This window comes from Homo sapiens, chromosome 11 (genome assembly GCF_000001405.40).
Source record: "Homo sapiens chromosome 11, GRCh38.p14 Primary Assembly".
Lineage (NCBI taxonomy): Eukaryota > Metazoa > Chordata > Mammalia > Primates > Hominidae > Homo > Homo sapiens.
In genome coordinates, this window is record NC_000011.10 from 123,157,174 (window position 1) to 123,174,934 (window position 17,761).

At 45.1% G+C, this 17,761-nt stretch overlaps 1 protein-coding gene across 1 annotated transcript in view, besides 3 other annotated features; it reads right to left on the bottom strand.

The window, feature by feature from the left end:
* Nucleotides 1-17,761, bottom strand: part of CLMP (CXADR like cell adhesion molecule) — a 125,377-nt gene that overhangs the window by 87,302 nt on the left and 20,314 nt on the right. The gene's annotated exons all lie outside the window — the stretch shown is intronic.
* Nucleotides 9,564-10,261: an enhancer, noted in NCBI's record as "H3K27ac-H3K4me1 hESC enhancer chr11:123037445-123038142 (GRCh37/hg19 assembly coordinates)". NCBI's record gives its function as "activates a minimal SCP1, AML or CMV promoter by ChIP-STARR-seq in primed H9 embryonic stem cells {active_cell/tissue: H9 hESC(primed)}" and the evidence as "EXISTENCE:reporter gene assay evidence [ECO:0000049][PMID:30033119]".
* Nucleotides 10,960-11,656: an enhancer, noted in NCBI's record as "H3K4me1 hESC enhancer chr11:123038841-123039537 (GRCh37/hg19 assembly coordinates)". NCBI's record gives its function as "activates a minimal SCP1, AML or CMV promoter by ChIP-STARR-seq in primed H9 embryonic stem cells {active_cell/tissue: H9 hESC(primed)}" and the evidence as "EXISTENCE:reporter gene assay evidence [ECO:0000049][PMID:30033119]".
* Nucleotides 11,691-12,523: an enhancer, noted in NCBI's record as "NANOG-H3K27ac hESC enhancer chr11:123039572-123040404 (GRCh37/hg19 assembly coordinates)". NCBI's record gives its function as "activates a minimal SCP1, AML or CMV promoter by ChIP-STARR-seq in primed H9 embryonic stem cells {active_cell/tissue: H9 hESC(primed)}" and the evidence as "EXISTENCE:reporter gene assay evidence [ECO:0000049][PMID:30033119]".

Below are 17,761 nucleotides of genomic sequence, written 5' to 3' on the forward strand. Positions count from 1 at the left end.
AGTCATCCCAGTCCAGGAGAATACTTGAGTGTCAGAACCAGGATATCTTAGAAGTCACCCAGGGCAACCTCTTTATATCATGAATAAAGAAGAAATGAGGGCGTGGCGTGGTGGCTTATGCCTGTAATCCCAGCACTTTGGGAGGTCGAGGTGGGTGGATCACTTGAGGTCAGGAATTCGAAATCTGCCTGGCCAATGTGGAGAAACCCCATCTCTACTAAAAATACAAAATTACCCCGGCGTGGTGGCACATGCCTCTAATCCAGCTACTCCAGAGGCTGAGGCAGGCAAATCACTTGAACCCAGGAGGCAGAGGTTGCAGTGAGCCGAGATCGCGCCATTGCACTTCAGCCTGTGCAACAAGAGCGAAACCCTGTCTCAACAAAACCCCCAAAATTAGCTGGGCATGGTGGTAGTTGCCTATAATCCCAGCTACTCCGGAGGCTGAGGCAGGAGAATCACTTGAACCCCGAGTGGGGCAGGAGGCAGAGGTGGCAGTGAGCCAAGATCTCGCCACTTCACTCTAGCCTGGGCAAAAGAGTGAAACTCAAAAAAAAAAAAAAAAAAAAAAAAGAAGTAGTGAAGGCCCAAAGTGGAGTTACCGGCCTGGGTTCACGGCGTGTAAGTAACGGAGCAGAGACCGGGACGCTGGTCTTTGGATGTTAAGTGCAAGTGGTTCCATTGCCCTTCAGCACTGGGGAGAGAGTTGGGGGCCGTTTTCTTCTTCTAAGTGATATTTTGGAACCAACACAGTACTGCCCCATTGCCTTCCCCACAGCCATTTCTTTATTACATTATTTTTTTCCTGCTGCTTCCAACCCATTCTCTTCTGCACAAAACCCCCAGTTTCGCTCTCCCAGGCTTTCACACACATTACTCAATCCACCCGAAAAGTACTCTGTACTGCTTCACTCAAACTCCGACACCCAGCAAGCCTTTGTCAGGGCAGGAAGATGCAAAGTGCCCCTATTGCACGGTTAGGCTGGGGCTCTAATATTGGCCACTGGTCTGCACTGGGATCTCAGGCAAGTCACGTACTGCCTCTCAGCCTCTAAGTGCCCTTCCAATTATAGTCTGCCATCCCATCAATCAGTGGATGCAATCCTTTTTAATGAGTTATCCAGCTAACTCTCAATGCGTCTAGATAATAGAATGCTGCAATCTTAATAAAATGCTTCTCTCCTGGAGAAGGCTGTTTAATGGCTAGAACAGTGGTGGCGAATTCAGGATCGGCGGAAGGTTTGAGTGCCAGTCTCCTCCAATGTTAGAAATCAGTCTTGGGGACTCCAGGGACTGTGCTGCTCTGGCCTGATGCCTTTGCAGCCCTGGGTGGACCTGCCCTCCTCTATGGGCCTCACTGTCTCCCCCTTTAAAAGGGCACTGCTCGTTGTTTTCCCACACTTGTCATGCTGTTGGGTGTATTATTTTAGTTTTGCAGTAGACCACAAAGCCAGGAGACTATCTGATTATTTACAGTCTCTAAAATCAGGGTTAGTTCAACTGTTGTCCTTATGCTGTGCTGAGTTTAACACAGGGGCTTTGGAACTAGACAGACCTGGGTTTGAAATCTGATTTGTCACTTCCTGGCTGTTGAACTTGGGCAAGTTTCTTCACCCCTGTGAGCCCCAGGTTGTTTTCATTTACAAAGGGTGGTGCTAGTGATACACAGCACACAAGGTAGTCATTACTAAGATTGAATAATATAATTGCATCGAGGGCTTCGATGTGTGGCATAGAGAGAATGTTCAGTGAATATTATCTATGACCATTGCTATTCTATGTCTAATGCACTGAACCCCTTTCTATGTGCCAGGGATTGTGCTAGGCACTTGGGAGTCAAATATAAGTCAGACCTCCCTTAAGCAGTTCATGAAGTAGTTGCTATGTAGGCCTAGTTCTAAGACATTTCGAAAATGTGAGAAAAGCCAAAGATCCGTCAAAGCATTAAAGAAATCATTGTGCTTAAAATTGGATGTGTGTATGTTATTTAAAAAATACCTAAAATGGTGTTTGGAAAGCCCAGCAAAAACCCAGTCTCTCCCGGAAATAGTTTAACAGTTACTTTCAGTGAGAAGGTAAATATCAGCCTTCCAGAATGTGCTCATAGTAGATTACGGAATTAGTCCACGTGGGAGCTTGCAGGCTACTAAGACGGAGCTGCGCTTGGCCCGGCGATGGGGCAAGCCTGCATGTGACAGGAAGGAGGAGGAAGAAACAGGTGCGGTGGGTGAGGAGGCTACAGTGTGTCTTCTCAGGTCTCCTGTGGGCAGGCAAGCCTGGGGTACCCTCCAGGCAGCATATGAGTGTGGGCAGCATCTGAATGAGAACATGAGAACCTGTCACTTACTGGTTGGAGTCAAGGAATGCATAAAATTGGTGTGCTGTGTCAGTTTTAATTTATGTTAGCCTTACTATTTCAATCTTGGCATAATTATCTCACACTTAACAGAATAAGGGAGGGGCAACTGACACGTACAAGGCAGTGAGGTGGCGGGAGGCCCAGGGGGCACACAGGAAGGGTGGTTTTTGGAGGATGGCTGTGGCACCTTGAGTCTGCAGGGATGAGTAGGTGTTTTCCATAATTCTCTGCCAATCCTCTCAGTCAATTAATAGTTGTTGCTTTAAAAAATTATTTTCAATTTCTAGCCAAAAGGAAGAACAATGAGGAATGTATCAATTTTTTTGGTTTACATCTAGCACATTGGTTTGTTTTTAAGACCTCCTGCCTGATGATGATGATAATTTTATTTTTGTAACAAGCTGTTAAATGCTCGGAGAACCACAAAACAGACCCTGGTGGTAAGAATTTGTTTCAATAATCCCGGCTGGGTGCGGTGGCCCACGCCTGCAATCCCAGCAGTTTGGGAGGCTGAGGCGGGAGGATCACCGGAGGTCAGGAGTTTGAGGCCAGCCTGGTCAACATGGTGAAACCCTGTCTCTACTAAAAAATACGAAAATTAGCCGGTCATGGTGTCACGTCCCTGTAGTCTCAGCTACTTGGGAGGCTGAAGCAGGAGAATCACTTGAACCCGGGAGGCAAAGGTTGCAGTGAGCCAAGATTGCACCACTGCACTCCAGCCTGGGCAACAGAGCGAGACTCTGTCTCAAAAAAAAAAAAAAAAAAAAAAAAAGGAAAGTAAAAGAATTTATTTCAATAATCCAATTATACCCTGAACTTTTTCCTGAGAAGATAGATACTGACATTTTCAGAAGGACAGTGCTTAGAAGCATGTTTTGCTGCATGTCTTCACTGCACTTATTAATGATTTCCTAAATGCTGGCTCACATGGACGCAGTTAATTTCAAGGGGAAATCAGAGTGCAGCAGATATGCAACGAGAAACTTGGGAAAGGAGCTGAATTATGCAGAATTATTTGGATTGGCTCAAGTTAGAGACAAGTCTCTGATTGACTTGTTTTCTAAGATGTATAATAGCTTAGTCCTATTTCCATTCTCTTCCTTTTGAAGCCTCTTCCTCTATAAACATCTCAGGCATGAATTCTTCAAAGAAGTTGACAAGGGGGAGGGGTGCAGTGACTCAAGCCTGTAATCCCAGAACTTTGGGAGGCTGAGGTGGGCGGATCACCTGAGGTCAGGAGTTCAAGACCAGCCTGGCTAACCTGGCAAAACCCCATCTCTACTAAAAATACAAAAATTAGCCAGGCGTGGTGGTGCATGCCTGTAATCCCAGCTACTCAGGAGGCTGAGGCAGGAGAATTGCTTGAACCCAGGAGGTGGAGGTTGCAGTGAGCCAAGATCACACCACTGCACTCCAGCCTGGGTGACAGAGTGAGACCCTGCCTCAAAAAAAAAAAAAAAAAGGTGACAAGAAACTTGCCTTCCTATTTATTGATTGAAACAGGCAGCATTAGATTTCCTTGGCCTTCCTTTGACAGCAGCACTGGAAAGGGACAGGAAAGGCAATTACTTGTCCAAAGGTATGTACTAGGTATGTACCAGGTGCCTACTACGTGCCCAGCCCTGGGCCTAGCCCTGGGTTCTGCCCAGTGAGATTTGTAAGAGCAGTGCTTTAAGACTTGGTTTCTAATCACAAGTTACTTATAATCTATTTGAGACTGTAGAACTGAGACAGATGGAGCAAATAATTTAACCTGTTAAATATGTATCAAGCCCTTACCATGCACTAAACCAGTCATGCTCAGCCTGCATGTGAGAAGCACTGATTTTTTTTTTCTTTAAATGCAGAATGGGTTCGGGTATGGTGGCTCATGCCTGTAATCCCAGCACTTTAGGAGGCCAAGGTGAGTGGACTGCTTGAGCCCAGGAGTTCGATACCAGCCTAGGCAACATGGTGAAACCCCATCTCTAAAAAAAGAAAAAAATACAAAGAATTAGCCAAGCATGGTGGCAATGTGCCTGCAGTACCAGCTACTTGGGTAGCTGAGATGGGAGGATTTCTTGAGCCCGGGAAAGAAAGGTTGCAGTGAGCCAAGATTGCACCACAGCATTCCAGCCTGGCAACGGAACAAGATTCTGTCTCAAAATAAATAAATAAATAAATAAACAAACAAATATACAAAAATAAATACAGAATGGCTGGGCGTCACCCCTCAGAACAGCAGTCCCCCAAGAGTAGTTTTTGGACGAGCATCACCATCATCTGGTCACGTATTACACATGCAGACTCTTGGACCTAAACTCCCTTGGGGTGGATTCCAGCAATCTGTGTCTTCACAAGCCCTGCAGGTGCTAACGATGCACTGGCTCTCAAATTGGAGAACCACTTGATTCAGTAGGCCTCATGTACAATATGAGGCTTTGAGCTCCTGAATACCTGCACAGAGAACCTTGATGTGGAGCTAGGATTGAGAACCCCTGTGCTGGCAACAGGAAAGATGCAGAGATGCAGAGAACATGGCCCCAACCTGAAGAAGCTCACAGTTTAGTGGACAATGTTAAACCAAATGCCACTGAGTGCCACAGAACAGCTCAGTCTAAGGGGAAGTTCCTGGAGGACACAGAGCTCATTTTAGAGTTGAACAGGATTCTAAAGAGCTACAGGAAGATCTCTCAGAGGAATAGATGAGCAGAAGGACCCGAGGCAGGAGAAAGTGGGAAGAACAGACAGCGACTCAGCTTTGAAGAAAGCATCCATTTATTCATTTAACAAACATTTCCTGAGAGTCTACTCTTCAGCTGATTATTTATGATTTATAACACACCAGTTTCCAAAATGATTTGAGGTGGTTTATAATGTTAAAACACATCCAAAACAGGAACGTGTATAATGTATAATGCATGTATAATGCAAATAGAACAGAGATCCATTAAGAGGAACTGGGAAATAAATCTTTCAGGCACCTGGGATGAATTAATTGAGGGCTTGCTGGGAGCAAGACACCGTCAGAGGTGCTATGGGGTTTGCTGAGAGAGATGAAGGAGCTTATAGTCCACAAGGGAAGATAAAAGTTGCATAAATGGCCAGGTGTGATGGCTCACACCTGTAATCCAAGCACTTTGGGAGGTCAAGGTGGGCGGATCGCTTGAGCTCAGGAGTTTGAGAACAGCCTGGGCAACATGACGAAACATTGTCTCTAAAAAAAAAAATACAAAAAAAAGCAGCCAGGCATGGTGGCAAGTGCCTGTAGTCCCAGCTGCTTGGGGGGCTGAGGCAGGAGGATCACTTGAGCCCGGGAGGCTCAAAAGCTGCCTGTGAGTCAAGACGGCACCACCGCACTCCAGCCTGGGTGATAGAGTGAGACCCTGTCTCAAAAAAAAAAGAGAGAAGAAAACCAAAAAATAAAAAATCAGCATAAATAACCATATTTAGGCAAAGAGCCATGGCAGATTCAAGGCAGGAGAGATCATTCCCAGCTAGGAAAGTGGGTACCTGTACCTTGAAGAAGGGAGAGGGTTTGGGGGCTGAAGGAAGGGGAGATTAGGGCTACAGCTGGAAGCAGGAAGAAGAGTCAGGAGAAAGAAGGGTGTCCACAAATTCCCTAAGCAAAGAGGCAAGGGAGACAAAGAACAGGATAAATCAATGGGAATCCTGAGAGTTCCCATTGAAAATGCCACGGCTAGATCTTAGAGGGTCTTCACTTCAGTTGGAGAAATTTGTGTCCTGTTTGCTAGTCAGTGAGGAGTGACTGAAGGTGTTTCAGCTAGGAATTAACATGGGGAAGTCATACTTTAGAAAGATTAATTTAGCAGACACATGTAGCATGGAGCAGAAAGACAGGCTACAGGTAGGGAGACCATTCAGGAGGCTGAAACCTGGTCTAGACTCCAGAGGAGAAGTAAGCATGGCCTGAGCTGGAGATAGCAGGAGCAAGAGAAAGGAAGAGAGTTGAAAGAGACACTATGGAGCTGTAATCTATGGCTTGCTACTCAAAGCGTGGCCTGGGGACCAGCAGCAGTACCTGGGAACTTGTTAGAAAAGTAGAACCTAGAGCCCCACCCAGATCCCTACTAAATCAGAATCTGCATTTTGCCAGGAGCCTTCAGTAAAAGGGGAGAACCACTGGCCCCTAGGGCCTGGCAACTTACTAAGTGTAGGGAACAGGAGAGGGAGAAGGTCCTAAGGTAATGTCAGATCTTTCAAGGACTGGATCCTAGGGGTTAGAGGTAGAGTCAGAATTAATTTGCGTGGAGGCTGAGAGGGCCAGACTAATGACCAGCTTATGGGTTCTGAGGCCCACAGCTAGAGGGAGATGTTGGGAGCTAGAGTGTCTCTGCTTAAATTTCGAATCTTTACTGCAAATCATTGTACAGTGGAGCCGCTCAATCACATCGTCTACAGGTTCCCTCTGTAAAATGCAACAATGACAATAGTGCCCACATTTTGTTTTATTAAAAAAATCCAAATTAATTGGCCAACTATTTATTTTCCAGTAGTGATGATAGTGATATTAACAACAACATGGCCTACCATTTATTTATCAGTGTTTGCTCTGTTCCAGGGGAAGTACTAAATAATTTGCTTCTACGAAAATCAATAGTAAATACCTACCAAAAATTGTCCTTATCTGTTATATTTACCCCCATTCGTATCATATAATTTATCTATTTCTTTGTCTGTCTGCCTTAATAGACTCCCCTTGGATTTCCTGGTACCTAAAATAGGGCCTCACAATTAGTAGGAACTCATTGATTTAGTTATTGTTATTTTTATTTTTATTTTATTTCCTGAGAGGAAGTCTTGCTCTGTCACCAAGGCTGGAGTGCAGTGGCCCACTCTCAGCTCACTGCAACTTCTGCCTCCCGGGTTCAAGCAATTCTCCCACCCTAGCCTCCCCAGTAGCTGGGATTACAGGCACGTGCCACCACGCCTAGCTAGTTTTTGTATTTTTAGTAGAGACAGGGTTTCGTCATGTTGGTCAGGCTGGTCTCTAATTCCTGACCTCAGTTGATTGACCCATCTCGGCCTCCCAAAGTGCTGGAGTTAAAGATGTGAGCCACCATGCCTGGCTTGATTTTTTTTTTTTTAAATGAATGAAAAACTAATCAAGTGAGAGTAGCTATCTGTATAGCACTTTAAACACCGTGACAATTTAGCACACAACATTGTACTTGTTTATGCATCTGTCTCACATGGGAAGAGATGAGCTTATCCATCTTCCTGTTCCCAGTCTGAACCTAGTGTCAGCCTCAATAAAGTAAGTGCTCAAAACATTTAGATGAATAAATGAGTTTGTAGTTTGCACTAACATGTTTTTAAAACATGATAATACACTCCTAAAGTTAGGAAAAGTGACCTTAGAATCATTGGAATTGAAACTAACCAAAGAATGTTATAACATAATCAAGTATATTCTAATATGTCCAAGAAAGAAAGGATGTCGTAACAGAAGGGTCATGCTCTCTACAAAGTTCTAGAAAAAGGACTGTAAAAACGCGATTTTGACAGTATCATTCTACATTGTGCATGGGACAGGCTACGCGTCTGATAAAAATAGACACCTCTTCAGACCAGAGACAACTTTTCCAGTTTTTACCAGCCTGATGGAAGGATCCTCATATCCACCATAGCATCTTCTGATCTGTCAGCTGCCCTCTGATGACAAGGCATCCCCCAGGAGGGAGTGTTCCAAACACGTAGCTAACCTTGGTATAAACAGGCTGCTAAAAACAGCCTGAAAGTAGGGAGAAGTTTGAATCCCAGCTCCACCATATGGTAAGTCTAAAACCTTGAGCAATTTACTTGACCTATTACAACTTTAGCTTCATTCATAAGGATGAAACTAACAGTTATGACATTAAAACAACAAAATAGTGTATATGAAGTCCATGATCCAGTATCTGGTACCTACCGCATAATATTAATACTCTAGCCCTGTTCCTGACCATCCCTTCCCTCCATGCCCAGATGTCCCTCTCATAGTTAACAAGGACATTATTATTTTTCTGCATCCTGGCAGGTGCACAAAGGTCCATGGTGTCCATGGTGACCATCTTAAAGTACTGATTCCCCAGGCCTTAGCAGCTCGCCACTAAAAGCTTTCCTCTTTTTAGCATCATTATTTTCAGTTTCCTGACTTGCTAGAAATTCACCGAGCCAGCTTCAAAAGCAGTGTTCTTTGTACCCAGCCCAAAGACTGTAGGGACCTTTCCCAAACCCTCCCTTAATCTTTCATCAGCCTAGGGACTAAGAGAGCACAGGGTCTACCCAGGACAAGCAGGACAAGTGAGACCTAGTGCCCTCTCCCCAGGAAGATACCACGGGAAGCAAGGTGATGTAGAGAGGCCGGCCTTCCCACAGTCAGCAACCAGATTGGACTGTCAACACTGTCAAGCCATCTTTCATTTTCCCAAGTTCTATTAAGGTTTTGCTACTTCCAGTATGCTTAAAAAGGTCTTAAATTTCAAGAGAAAATTTTAAAATTCAACAGGCATAAGATCTGAATTCTCTACTACAAAGCCATATGGACTCATCCTACATCAAAATGCCACCAAAAATTCATGATTTGCAGCCACAATCCTTCCATTCATTCCACCTTCCAACCTCCTTTCCGCATCGTGAGGCTTCATACCTCGCAGGCCTGAAGGGGGAGCAGTCGAGCCCAAGTTCTGGGGCACTGGTAGTGTTGGATGTAGCGAGGTTTCTAGTAGTTACTGTGGGCATCCCTACATCCAGGTGCCTCTTCTCCAGCCTTATCTCTTTCGCCAAGCCCCAGGGCTACACCCTCTTCAGAGAGATTGACTATAAATGGTCATGGGGGAAGCAGTCAGAATGCCAAGAGCTGCAAGCCTGACAGAGCTTGTGTATCAGCCTGACGGCTTCAATAGCCCAGAGTCTGCTGCGTGGAATCCCAAACAGCCTTGTATCTTCCTCCCTAACCACAGACAGCCTGCCTGCCTCTTGGGCCTTGTTTAAACAAGATGAGAGCAGGCCGTGTTTGGACTAGAAGGCCCGTGACCCTTCCCCAGTGTGGGAGAACAGGTCAGCAAGACATGGTGCAGCCTGAATGTGAGCTGCTCTCTTGCTTTTAGGTCTTCCTGACTTTCAGAAACTGGGGGCCATAAGAGCTCCACCATCTCAGAAGTCTGCTGCCAATAGGAGGAAATAGTTCAGGTTCTGTTGCACGGCAGGGTGACTATGGTTGACAACAGTGTATTGTATATTTCAAAATAGTTAGAAGAGAGGATTTTGAATGTTCTCACCACAAGGAAATGATACATGTTTGGGGTGATGAAAATGCTTATCACCCGGATTTGATCGTTACGTATCATATACATGCATCGAAACATCTCATTGCACTCCATAAATATGTACAATTATTACGTGTCAATTAGAAACAAAATAAAACTAAAAAAAAAAATCTGCCACCAAAGGAGAGATATCCTTGGCTAATGTGGATCATTGTGTTCTGAGTGTAGTAATCAATCATTACAGTTAACATGCCAGGCATGGCACTAGGTACCTTGGGGTAATGGGCACATACAGTGTTTAGCGCAGTGCTTGGCACATAGTAGGTATTTGATGAGTGATAGCGATTACTATCAATAATCTTATAGATCACTCTATGAAGAGGTATCATTATTATCGTCCTTTGTTTTGGGAAGCTGAGGAAACACACATACAGAGAAGTTCAACTTGTTCAAGGTTTTGAAACCTTGACACCATCCAGTTAGAAAGACAGATGTCTTTTATTTCTTTCTTTCTTTCTTTTGAGACGGAGTTTCACTCTGTCACCCTGGCTGGAACGCAGTGGCACGATCTTGGCTCACTGCAAGCTCCACCTCCTGGGTTCACACCATTCTCCTGCCTCAGCCTCCTGAGTAGCTGGGACTACAGGCGCCCACCACCACGCCTGGCTAATTTTTTGTATTTTTAGTAGAGACGGGGTTTCACTGTGTTAACCAGGATGGTCTCGATCTCCTGACCTCGTGATCCGCCTGCCTTGGCCTCCCAAAGTGCTGGGATTACAGGCATGAGCCACCACGCCCCGCCGAAAGACAGATGTCTTTTTAGTGAAGCTTGGCCAGTTTGGCTGCAGATATTGTGCTGCAGCCTCCGTTCCATGCTACCTCTTACCCTACTGGCAAAGCAATGACCCTGGATTATAGCCCCAGCTCTGAATACGTCACCTCCTCACTCTGGGCTTGTAGTAGGAGTTGAAGTTAATGACCTCAAAGGACTCTTCCAATCTCACCTGCTGTGACTTCAAGTTGAAGATCTCAAGGAAAGGGGAAGCTCTTCCCTAGTTGGGAACATGCCTCCTTCCCTGTCCAGAAGGAAGCTTGTGTGGATGAGGGAGGATTGTTGAGTTCCTGAGAAGCAAATGGAGAGAGTGCAGTCTCTCTTATCAAGCCCAGGAAGGAAAGACAGACAGACAGACAGACAGACAGACAGGCTACTTAGCATGAACGATATTTCCAGAAGCTGAAAGCTTGTTCTTAAACTGACGGAGGGATGCCAGCCTGCCATGGTCAACAAAGGAATTGGGACCGGGGAAATCCTGTCCTAAGAATCTGAGCTGAAAAGCATGATTGGGGTTAAACATCTGCCACCATCATTTCCTTTTCCACGTTTATTCACTGCCTGTCCCCCCACCCCCACCCCAGGTCCACTAAGTGGTACCTATGCTTTTTCCACAAAGCAGGCTGCAGAGGGAAGGCCATGTATCTGGCCAGGGCAGGGCTAGGGCTGCAGCGTTACACCCCAGAGCTGGGGCCACGGCACTCCAGCTTTGACCAGACAGCATCTAGGGCAGCTGCCCCCCCTGGTTCTTCCTATCTACATCTGGATTCCACTGTCTTCTTTTTGTGGCTTTTCTCTGAAAGCCCTCTCTTCCTTCCAGATTTGGAAATAACTGAGATAGTTGGGCAAGTTAGTTGGGAATGAGGCAGGGATATTCACGGGGAATGAGGAAGCCTTGGGGCTGCTTTTCTCCTTGCCACTCAATTGCCTTGCAGTGTCCCCTGGGAGCCGGGTAGGACAGGGTCGGCTAACCCTGACCAATAGTCAGAACCCTCCAAAACCCATCCTTTTCTTGTCAAAAGCCACCTCCTCCAAGAAGTCCTCTGCAATCGGATCCAGCAGCAACTCTTTCTTGTCCTGCCTCATCTCTGTGGAATTTACAAGGTTCAAATGCTGCTGATTATGTGAGGTGGATGCTGCATCTTAAGTGTATACTTTCTGCTGTTCCTTCTCTATTTTGCATATTGCATTAGATTAGGAGTCCTTTAAGAATAAAATGTTCTGGGTCTCATTCCCCTCAACGCTCTTGCACCTGCCCTCCCTGGGTTATGCAGCATCTACTCCCGGCTTTGCACAGAACGTGCGGCATCCAAGCATTCACTCAGGATTGGGGCATATGAGAGGGTAGTGGGGAAACCCTGCTCTTCAGGGACCCATGAATATGAAAGACCACCATAAGAGAGGGAGGGACAGAACAAAGCTCTGGTCCCTCAAAAGACCAAGTGTCTATTTTTGCACTCTGAAAATGAGGTGTCAGGTCCCTGCTGGGGAATCCCTGGAGGCAGCTGGGCTCCCCAAAGCAGCTGGGCTCCAAATGTCCAGGAGGAGGTGCAAAGAGGAAGAGATTTTGCTTTGGCTCTGAGGGCCTCTGGGATTCCCAGAGGAATCCACAAGCCTCATATATATTTATGTGAACTTAAGATGCTAATGAGCATTGAGGAGCCAAGAGCCCTGCTGGGTTTGCAAGTAACTGGGCCTACTCTTCACACAGTCTTCTTTGTCTGCAAGGCTTCAGGTTCAAATTGCAGATCTGGGTTTTTTTAGCGCAGCTGACATGGAAACCTGCCCAGGCCTACGGCAGAATCACCGTGGGCTCCAGGAGAAAGCTTCCACCCTGCTTCCTTGGACAAGACACTGAGCCTAGGTCTGACTGAGGTCATCTTGTCCATCTTCCAGTCTCCAAGAAGGACAGTGTCCAACCCCTCTTAGATAGGGAGGTTTTTACTCCACTCCTAAGACTTCCCTCTTACCCCATTTTTCATCCATTGCAATCATAGTGTCAATAAAGAGAGTCAAACTTTGTAAAACATTTGAAGAAACATATTCTGAACCAAATAAGAGTGACCATGGCCCATAACACAGCTCTCAGGAGACCCTGACAACATATGCTCAAGGTTGTAGGGGCACAGCTTGGTTTTATCATTTTAGGATACATTTAAGATGTACATTGGTTTGGTCCAGAAAGGTGGGACAACTCGAAGCAGAGGAAGCCGGTGTTGGGGGGTTTGTGGGCGGTGCCTCCAAGTTATAGGTAGATTTAAAATTTTTCTGATTGGCAGTTGGTTGAAAGAGTTTATCTAAAGACCTGCAATCAATAGAAGTGTCTGAGTTAAGGGGTTGTAAAGACCAAGGTTCTTATTATGCAGATAAAGTCTCCAGGTACGGCTTCAGAGACAATTGATTGTAAATTTCTTATCAGACTTAAAAAGGTGCCAGACTTTTAGTGGATTCTCTCTTTGATCAGGAAAAGGGTCTGGAAGAGGAAAAGGAAATTCTCTATAGAATGTAGACTTTTAACCCCAAGAGATGACTTTGTAGGGCAATTTCAAGATCTGGCAAGGAAATATATTTGGGGTTAAAATATTTTCATTTCCTTCCTTATTTGTTATGTGATGTGCCCGAGTCAGGTTGGAAAGCAGGCCACATTATACAGGGTTAAATCAAATCCCTCTGATGAGACTTCATGGTTTGTAGGGCAAACTCCCCAGGCCTCTTAGGTAGTAATTTGGGAAAGAGAAGAAAACAGGTCAGAGTTTAGTCCTCAATAACGATCTGTGGAAGTTCCTCCTTTTGGCTAACTTAAGTGTTGTGTTGCACATGAAACCTGCTTTTTTTTTTTTTTTGAAATGGAGTCTCACTCTGTTGCCCAAGCTGGAGTGAGGTGGCACGATCTTGGCTCACTGCAACCTCCACCTCCCAGGATCAAGTGATTCTCCTGCCTCTGCCTCCGGAGTAGCTGGTACTATACGCGCAGGCCACCACATCTGGCTAATTTTTGGTATTTTTAGTACAGATGGGGTTTCACCATGTTGGCCAAGCTGGTCTCGAACTACTGAGCTCAAGTGATCCACCCCGCTCGGCCTCCCAATGTGCTGGGATTACAGGCGTGAGCCACCACGCCCAGCCGAAGCCTGCTTTTTCTTGCTGCTGTGAGGCATGAAGATCAGCTCGTTGTCATCCTATAAAGACTGTTTGCTGGCATTAATACTCCCTGCTGCCTCCTTGGTCACAGCTTAATAACCAGTTTCTTTATCTGTTCATCACGGGGCGAGGACTCTGTGCCAGGCACTGGGCAAACCAAGACGAATGAGTCTCAAGACTTCATCCTTAGGATCATATGATCTTATGTGGGGAGACGTTCGAATACATTTATCACAACATATTATGATATTTGTTAAAACCAGGGTATGAGCAAGGTCTCTGGGGACCACAGCAAAAAGCAACCAGCTCTGCTTGGGGTTGACGGGCAAGGTTTCCCAGAGGGGCTAACCTCTGAGCTTGGCCTTAAATGCCAAGTAAGCATTTCCCAGGTAGAAAAATGGGGAAAGGGTGTCATTCTAAGTAGAGGGAAGAACAAGCATGAAGACCAGAAGATCTGAAAGGGTCTGGCCTGTGTGGGGAACAGCAAGTCACACCAGGGAGTCTAAAGGGTTCTCCTAGTTTAAAGACACCAAGTAGACAAAGTCTGCATTAAGCTAAGGGCTAGCTGGTCCCTTAGAGTCCACAGAAGGTAACCTTGGAGACAGCAGGCTGGAAAGGGAGTGGGACTGGAGAAGGGAGGGTATTTGGGAGACTATTCCCTAAGATTTTTTTTTTTCTTTTCTTTTCTTTTCTTTTTTTTTTTTTTGAGACGGAGTCTAGCTCTGTCACCCAGGCTGGAGTGCAGTGGTGTGATCTTAGCTCACTGCGACTTCCACCTCTTGGGTTCAAGCAATTCCCTTGCCTCAGCCTTCCGAGTAGCTGGGATTAACAGGTGCGTGCCAACACAGCCGGCCAATTTTTGTTTTTTAGTAGAGACAGGGTTTCACCATGTTGGCCAGGCTGGTCTCGAACTCCTGGCCTCAAGCGATCCGCCTTCCTCGGTCTCCCAAAGTGCTGGGATTGCAGGCATGAGCCACCGCGCTCGGCCTGTTGGAAGACTGTCGTACTAATTCAAGCAAGAGAGAAAGCCATTTAAGGACGAGTGGCACTTAGACATTTAGATGTTTAAAGTAATACTTTAAAAATAGAAGTTATACATACTTGTTATACAAAACTTGGATAATAAGGACAAAAATAATGAAGAAAATAACAATCATCTGTGTTGGCTCTTAACATTTCAGTGCAGATTTCCTTCCAGGCTGTTTTCTAAGCATTTATACATATTCACTGTAGAGATTTTACTATACTGTATATACAATTCTGTATTTTTTTTTTACTCAACATTATATTATGAGCATTTATCCAAGTCATAAAATTTCTTTGTCATCTGTTTTACGAGCAGTGTTATATTTGATTATATAGATTCATGAATCCTAATTTACTTAGCCACTTTCTTTCTATTTTATTTTTCTTGAGATGGAGTCTCGCTCTGTTGCCCAGGTGCCTCCTGGGGTCAAGTGATTCTCCTGCCTCAGCCTCCCGAGTAGCTGAGACTACAGGCACCCACCACCACGCCTGGCTAATTTTTTGTGTTTTTAGTAGAGACGGTGTTTCACTATGTTAGCCAGGATGGTCTCGATCTCCTGACCTTGTGATCCACCTGCCTCGATCTCCCTAAGTGCTGGGATTACAGGCTTGAGCCACCGCACCCAGCCTACTTAGCCACTTTCTTATTTTGAGATGTTAATTTGTGCCAGTGTTTATGTTGCAATAAACTTTTATTGTTTATTTATTTGCTTTTTTTTAGACAGGGCCTCTCTCAGTCATCCAGGCTGTAGTGCAATGGCACCACCTTGGCTCACTGCAGCCTCAACCTCTTGAGCTCAGGTGATCCTCCCATCTCGGCCTCCCATGTAGCTGGGACTATAGTCGTGAGCCACTATACTTGGCTAATTTTTTGTTAATTATTTTGTAGAGACAGGTTTTAGCCGTGTTGCCCAGGCTGGTCTCAAACTCTTGGGCTCAAGTGATCCACCTGCCTTGGCCTCCCAAAGTGCTAGGATTACAGGTGTGAGCCACCACATCCAGCCAATAAACATTTTTTTACATTGTATTTTATTATGTCCTTAGCATAGATTTCTAACAATGGAATTATTGGGCCAAGGCTATGAATGGTTTTAAAATTCCTGAAGCTGACTTTTAAATGTTTTTTAAAGAGGTTTGTGCTGTTTGCACCCCACTAATAATGTATGAGCACTTCCAGAGGGATGTTTCTATAAGGGCCATAGTATTTTCCTTGTCACCATTTTGCATGACACCTTTTCAGGATGCATGAGATGTCACACCTTGCACCCTTAGATACAAACCCAGAGCTTCACTCTCAAGGTTAACATCCTCTTTTCCTAGACTTCTCTAGAACAATTATTAGTAAAAGCAGATATGGTTTGCTTTAATCTCTTACAAAGAGCTCGGTTCTGGGACAGGATGGTAGGTAAGATCCCCTGTTGGGAACAAGCCAGTGCCAGCTGCAGTGCTGATATGACAGCATGTGTAATTTCCCATGATATGAGACTGTTTTATGGCTGGAGCCAGCACATAGCCTGGGTTTTCTTGGAGAGTCCCTGTTCTATCCTGTTATTCCAAAAGTATTCTCAAGCCAGTCAGACCACAAAGTGACTTCTATTTGTAACACACAGTCTTACATGAATGCATTCATGGACACATGTAGATGTGGGCCGACATTCCTTTTTATACATGCCAGATGGAAGTCTGCGTGTAATAACCACAAGGGAATGACTGCATAGTGCCTGGCTCATTACAAAATATTTTAATGCATATGATCTCATCTTGAGGTTTGGGGTGATTAAGGAAAAGAGCACAGGCTTGGCAATAAGGTATATACTAGTTTGTGACTTTGGCCACATTTCTTAACCTCTAAGAGCCTCATCCTCCTCTGTAAAATGGGAGTTAGTGTCCTTGTTTTGCAGATGAGGAAACTGAAGCTCAGGAATAAGTGACTTGCCTAAGATCACAGAGCTGATAAATAACAGCTCTGTCCAGGATGCCGCACTCCTTCACCACATCAAAAAAAAATTCCAGGCCTGGGCTGAGTGCTGTGGATCAGACCTGTAATCTCAACAGTTTGGGAGATCAAAGTGGGTGGATCGCTTGAGCTCAGGAGTTCGAGACCAGCCTGGGCAATATGGTGAAATCTCATCTCTACAAGAAATCCAAAAAATTAGCTGGGCATGGTGGTGCATACCTGTAGTCCCAGCTACTTGGGAGGCTGAGGTGGGAGGACCACCTGAGTCTGGGAAGTTGAGGCAGCAGTGAGCTGTGATCTCGCTACTGCATTCCAGCCTGGGCAACAGGTGGGACCCTGTTTCAAAAAAAATTTTTTTTAATAAAACAAAAAATAAAAATTCCAGGCTTAGAAATTTAAACTTCTTAAGTTTAACCTTAACCTTTCCACCTTACATAGAGGCCAAGACATTGTCCTTCAGAGCAAGCTCTTCCTACACGTAATTACATGCTCCTTCTACTGCACTGTGCTACCTCATATCTCCCTCCACATCAGTTCTTTTGGGAACAGGAAATAGCTTAAAAGTGTTCTGTTTCATACTATGTATAATAGGAAATTCTGATTGTTTCCTTCCTTCTTATTCAGGGAAACAAGATGGTTAATGGGAAGGGATGGCATAGGCAAAGATCATCTGGACTAGGCGACATCCTATCCTGAATCCAGCTTCTCTTCCATCTGGACACTAAAGCTCTATCTCCCAAAATATAATATTTCATATCTAGGCCTGACATTGGGTCTCCTTGAGTTGTTTTGTTAAGCACTGAAAAAATAAATAAAAGAGCCTCCCACTTGCCCACTTGCTGCCTCCTTCCTCCTTTGGAAGATGTGTCTGGTCTCTGGGGAGACTTTTGCAATGGCTGACCTTGCTGGTCTATCCATCTTCTAAAGGCCCTTCTGTCTAGAGGTGGCAACCTAATGTCCTTTATATTCTCTCTTTTTTAAGGCCCCATGAATTTTCTTTAATCTAGAAATTAGGAAGCACTTAGGATTTTTTAAATGGTTATCTAAGGGTTATTTAATTCATCACCCTGTTACTCAACCCAGCATTCCTTCCCTGGATTAAAGCCATCTGGTGTGTGCTCATTGTGAAACATACTAGTGGAATGTTAATGCCTGTATTTTGGAAGCAGAGGCAAGGAAAGAGGGGAAAGGGGCTC